Raw genomic sequence first — 6808 nt, 5'->3', positions numbered from 1 at the left:
CCTCAAGCATCTTATTAATGAAATCCTCCCTTCTATTTTTCTTTTCTTTTTGTCTGGATTTCCTTTTTCAGATAATAGACCTCTGAGAGTGATAATGTAATGTTATTACTTTTTCTTTACTGTTTCTCTCTGTCTTTTTGTTCTACCTTATGGATGTTGTCACTTTACTTTTAAATTTTATTTTAATTTCTTGATTTCCTGGCCTTAAGAAATTCACCCATATTGGCCTCCCAAAGTGCTGGGATTATAGGCATGAGCCACTGTGCCTGGCCTTATATTTTAGTTTCTAATTTCTGCTATTACATTTTGATTTCCAATAAATCCATTTTGTGTTTTTTAAAGGTTTTTATAATACTATCCTATCCTTGTTTCATAGGCACAACCTCTCTGAAGATATTAACAATTGTGTTTTTTTAAGCTTTTTTCTCTCTGCATAGACTCTATATTTTCCAAAAGACTTCGTCTGTTTGTTTGTTTGGAATTCCATCTCCACATTAGGAACTTTACTTAGATTTCTGCTATTCTTTGGTGGTCTGAGTATGAGAAAGTATCATGTGGTTCCAAAAAAAAAAAGTCTGTGTAGAGAAGAGCAAGAGAAGGTATACAAAATGTTAACAGTTGATGAATTTATGTAAAGACTATATGGGTATCCTTTGTACTAATCTTTCAACTTTTCTGTAGTTTTTTGTTTTTGTTTTTGTTTTTTTTCAAGATGGAGTCTCACTCTGTCTCCTAGGCTGGAATGCAGTGGTATGATCTCGGCTCACTGCAACCTCTGCCTCTTGGGTTCAAGCGATTATTCTGCCTCAGCCTCCTGAGTAGCTGGAATTACAGGCACTCACCACCATGCTCAGCTCCTTTTTGTATTTTTAGTAGAGACGGGGTTTCACCACGCTGGCCAGGATGTTCTCGAACTCCTGGTCCCAAGTGATCCACCTGCCTTGGCTTCCCAACGTATTGGGATTACAGGTGTGAGCCACCATGCCCACCCTGAGATTTTAATTTTTCAAAGTAAAAATCTGAGATATAAAAAGAAAGGAGAGTAAACGCAGAGTGGGAGATTGAAAAAGGAATTGGAAGCTGAACATAAGCCCCTGCTTTTTAGGGTGACCTTCACTGTAGCCCTTTGTTAAGAAGCCCCAGGGTCAGTGTCTTTATTCCTTCCTCTTGGGCTGGCAGCTTCCTCAAAGTGTGCACTTCCTGTCCCTTGCCTCAAGGACAAAGTCTGGCTGCCAGAGTTCTGATTGAACGAGTTGGCTTGAGGACTTCAAAATCAGCACTCCTTATGCATATGGCCTCTTAATCCTCTATTGTCAGTAGCACGCCTGTTCTCTTCACTGCATGGGTTCACTCTCAGGCTCAAAACTCCACGTTTTTCCATCTCCAAACAATAAACCTGTTTTGTACCAATATACAGGAGTGTAGCATTAAGGAGAGGGACTAGAAATTTGCCCTCTTAAACATCTTCCACCCAATCCTTCTTATTTTAGCACCAACTCTTTTTATCCCATGGCTCTGGGCTGAATATTTCTGTCCTCCCAAAATTCATAGGTTGAAGCCCAAACCCCCAATAAGATGGTATTTGGAAGTAGTGCCTGTGGGAAGTAATGAGGCCATGAGGGTCATGAGGTCATGAGGGTCGAGCGCCCCTGATGAGACTCATGCCCTTACCAGAAGAGTAGACCAGCTAAGAAGCATCTCTAGGGGGTCTATAAAGTGGTACTATTACACTCTTTATTTGCAGAAGAGGGAACTAGGGTGGAGAGAGGAGATTACCAAGATTACTATGGAGTCTGTAAATGGAAGTGAGAATTCAAATGTCACCAAAGCTAATATCCTTAACACTATGCTGATCTATTTTCCCATTCACATTCTTTTAATCAACTTAATTTCATGTTGCCTATTTTTTCTCTTTTAAGGAAAATTACTTGACTATTCTGAAGAAGCCACAATAATAACACACACCCCCAAAAAACAGTAAAAACTGATGACAAGGATGAAGCATTGTTACCTGTTACCTGTTGCCTATTGGTCAAGCCAATATGTTGCTAAAGGAAAAGAAAGAAGTGGTGATTGCATTGTACATCGAGCCTAAAGCTACGTCTCAGATTATTTCCTGCTATTCAGGCTGTTGCTTCCATATACAGCATAGTCCATAGATTCACCAAGGCTAGCCTCAGGCCTCTGGTGAGACTTCCTCCAAGAACCTACACCCCAGAAAAAAATTTTGGATAACATATAACCACCAAGATATATCCACTGAGACTACAAAGAAATTTAAAATATTAATAGGAGCAAAACTTTAAACCAAAGGAAAGACATCCTAAGGCAGCATTTCAAGAATCAGCCTTGGGAAGATTGAAGAGGGCCAGAAAGTCCTCTCTGAGGACATTTTAGATTTTCCAGAGAAATGAGAAGCACACAGAGCTAGAAATAAAGAGAAAACCACAGAGATCTCTTCTTTTAGAGAATTGAGAGAGCAGAGAGACAGAGAACGCATGAGATAGAAAATCTCATATGGGTCTAGGTTTTGGAAAATTCTGTTCATTATGCTGTGGTGAAGTGTTCTGCGAAATTTGTTATTTGTTTTGTTTTCAGCTGTTATTCATGTAAGTTGTGGTTCAAGTTAGTATCTCTTCTGATCTGTGCCCTTTGACGTGTTAATTAATTGATGAAACTTTTGTTCTCAAACTTTTTACTATTTCAATCCAAAACCTTCAGATTTGTCTGAAAATTCACCATGGGCCACTAGACTGAGAATTTCTCTACCCTGTAATAGCCTCAGTACAGAAGCTTAGAGGAAACCAAGCTGAGCACTGAAATCAGTTGGCAGTGCCCTGCTCCCTCTGTGACTGTATTCACTTAAAGTTGTCCAGATTATGTTCTCAGGATCAATGACCATTTTATCTGTGTCCCTAGCACCTGGCTTAGCATATATTATCAATCCAAAACATGTTCTCTGAATGAATGAACAAAAGCAAGAATGAATGAGCAAACCACCATATTCCAGCAGAGCACCATGATGGTTTCGAGCTTGTGTTCGTCTCCAGGCTTTGCCCTCATGAGTTGGGTGACATTAACTAAGTTATTCAAGATATGCCTTCTCATTAACTTATGCCACAGATATTACTGCTGGGCTCTGAGTATGCATGGGGTGAGCAAAACAAGTCCGTTGGCCTTGTGGAGTCTAGAGTCCAGCTACACAAACACACACTGACAAAACATGAAGTGCTCTGATGGTAGCGGGCTGAGGGGCAAGAGTGCAGGTATTATGCAACTTATTCAGGTAGAATGATCAAGAAGTACATAGGTGAGGAGGTGACCTTTAGGCTGACAAAAAGAGAGACAGCCAGCCTTGAGAAGATATGAAACAAAAGCATTCTGAAAAGAAAGAAAAGCTTTTATTAAGTCCTTGGGTTTTCAACCAAACAATTGAAAAAAAGAACAAGAAAACAAAGTCATCGGGCAAGAGAGAGCTTGCATAGGCCCAAATTATTTTGAATGAGCAGAGTTTGGTGAAATCAGAGGAGAGACTTAAGACCAGGTGGAGTGGCTCAGAGCCTTTGTAATCCCAAGACTTTGGGAGGATCACTTGAGCCCAGGAGTTGGGAACCAGCCTGGGAATAAGACCTTATCTCTACAAAATAATAATAATAATAATAATAATAATAATAATTAAAAATTAGCCAGGCATGATGACACGTGCCTATAGTCCTAGGTACTCTGGAGGCTGAGATGGGAGGATCGCTTGAGCCTGGGAGGCACAGGTTGCAGTGAGCCCAGATCACGCCACCACAGTCCAGCCTGGGTGACAGAGCAAGACCCTGTCTCTAAATAAATAAATAAATAAATAAATAAATAAATAAATAAAGATGGGTGATGTGAGACACAAGAGGTGAACAAGGATCAGACCTTGGACAACCTTGTATGCCAAGGTAAGTATTTTGACTATATCTTGGCAATGGAAAGTTTTAAGTAAATGAGGGAAATGAGCAACCCAGAGTGTCTTATTTAGCTGACCAGGAGCAGGGGCAGACATGGGTATTTTATCAGAATCTTCTCAGTGATTCTAGCACACAGCCAAGGTTGAGATCAACAGTCTGTATATTCCTGCAGGAGCAAACCCACTTTACTTACATCCTTCACCTGCTCTGATCCTCCCAGTGGTGGCTCCTTTAAACAGAATAAGGTGTAAATATATTAGCTTAGTAATCAAGTTCCTCCGTGTCTGCCTTAGCCTAACTTTCCTATCTTATGTCCACTCAACCTCCTGGACAAACTTTATAATGTAGATTAAGGATGTGAGTTCTGAAGTCAGAGCCAGACATGTTACTTTATCCACATTGTAGCATGGTAGTTATAGTTACCTCTTATCGTGTTTAGGAGATTTAATTTTATAATATCTGGAAGGCTCTTCACCTATTACTTAGTAAGCACTTCCTAAAAGTTTGCTCTTGTATTATTCCCTGACACCCAAATAGAATTTTCCTAATTCTGCCCTTTTTCTGATGTTAAACCATATGAACACTTTTCTATTCCCATCTACCTAAACAGAACCCACCCCTCCTTCAAGTTCCTGCTCAATACTATCCCAGGGAGAACTTATCTTTGGCTCCCTTGATCCCTTATAGTCATTATTGTGTATTTTGGAAAAAATATACATATTAATTTTAGAGAGCTCTGCTCTCAACTCTGATATTTAGATTGTTTCTTTCTTATCTGCCCAGGTGGAATGCATGCTTCCTTGGAGCATGTTCATTCATAATGCAGTGATTAAAAGCATGGATTCTTGTGCAGAATTCTGGTACCACTACTAACCTTGGACAAGACGCTTAACCTCTTTGTGCCTGTTTTTTAGTATGGTTAAATGGGAATAGTAAGAGTACCCACTATGGTACTCATGGGCATGTGGTAATTATCAAATGAATCAATCCATCTAATTTAATTAATCCCTTCAAGCCTTCAGAAGAGTGTCAGGGACACAGTAAGTCCTCACTGTTAACTAATATTAACTGTGCCAGATACCACTCTGTATCTTCCACTATTTTTATCCCAGGCCTTTTGGGTAATGAGGCCCTAATATATGTGTGCATTTAAAATTTGCTCTTATGAATTGTATAGGTAAATATACCAGAAATAAACTATATGAGTATTTGCACAAAAATGAGTCCTAAATGTTCAGCTAATAATGAGAAAAAGGCCGGGCATGGTGGCTCACACCTGTAATCCCAGCACTCTGGGAGGCTGAGGCGGGCTGATCACCTGAGGTCAGGAGTTTGAGAGGAGCCAGGCCAACATGGCGAAACCCTGTCTCTACTAAATATACAAAAATTAGCTGGGTGTGGCAGCACACACCTGTAATCTTAGCCACTCAGGAGGCCGAGGTGAGAGAATCGCTTGAAACCGGGAGGCAAGAGGTTGCAGTGAGCTGAGATCGTGCCACTGCAGTCCAGCCTGGGCAACACGGCAAGACTCCGTCCACAATAATAATAATAATAATGAGAAAAATATATGTTTCTGACTAATTTGTAATGGCACTTTTATTCTCATCTCCATCAAAAGTTCACATCAATGAATGGTGTGGGTACATTATCAGAATTAACAGAATTCTAATAGCTTTGACATTTGTACCTTTAGAAGCACTCAGGTTAATGTAGTCTGCAAAAGTCTATAATCCTATGCTGTATTACTGTACAAATTCTTTTTCCTGAGTATTAGATTGCCATTATTTAAAGCTGAAAGAGTGACGTCCTTGTGAAGTGTTTCAGTTGAGATCATAAGCAGCACAGTGCCTTGCTTATAGTAGGGGTTTCAAAAAGGCTCGTCAACTGACATTTTATTTCAGCAGAAATCAGAAGAAATGGTCTTAGCTGACAGAGGAAGTCTTTCTGCTTTAGTTTCGTCTGTATGGAAACCACCTATTATAAGCCTGTTTTAGAGAAGCAGAAGTGCGAATATCAACTCCAACACAGGATCTTATTCATAATAGGGACTTGGTAAATGTTTGCTACATTGAATTGAACAAAATTAATCAGTTATGCCTCTTCAATCCTTCCCATGTGGCTGTCATCAGTTTTAAGGCATCTACCTAAATCCACATGTGCACCACATGCTGTCTAACCAAGAGAGCAGCTGGCAGAAGACTCAGGGGCCATTCACTTACTTCCATGTTCATCCATCCCCTTTGACCTGCCAGGTGAAATTCTAGGTATCAGGGATACACAGCAAAAAAGTTCCTTCCATCCGGAGCTTACTCATGGGGGAGACTGACAGAAAACACATAACAGAGGCCGGGTGCGGTGGCTCATGCCTGTAATCCCAGCAATTTGGGAGGCCGAGGAGGGCGGATCACGAGGTCAGGAAATCGAGACCACCCTGGCTAACACGGTGAAACCCCAAAAATACAAAAAATTAGCCGGGCGTGGTGGTGGACACCTGTAGTCCCAGCTACTCGGGAGGCTGAAGCAGGAGAATGGTGTGAACCCAGGAGGCGGAGCTTGCAGTGAGCTGAGATTGCGCCACTGCACTTCAGCCTGGGTGACAGAGCGAGACTCCGTCAAAAAAAAAAATGAAAAAGAAAAAGAAAACACACAACAGAGAAATATATGATATAATGTCACTGGTTAGTGCTGGAAAGAAGGGTAAGACCCAGGGGTGAAAATGGACACAAGCTGCCCTTTTAGATGGAGGGGGGTCGAGGGCATTTAAGCAGGCAGCCACCCTTGGAATTAACTGGAGGAAGGATGCAGGGAGCCCCAAAAGCAGTCTCTGGGGATGTCAGAACAGCAAGGAGGACTGTGGGCATAAG

This window comes from Homo sapiens, chromosome 8 (assembly GCF_000001405.40).
Source record: "Homo sapiens chromosome 8, GRCh38.p14 Primary Assembly".
Taxonomy (NCBI): domain Eukaryota; kingdom Metazoa; phylum Chordata; class Mammalia; order Primates; family Hominidae; genus Homo; species Homo sapiens.
The sequence above is the reverse complement of the archived record's forward strand: the minus strand, read 5'-3'. Positions refer to the sequence as shown.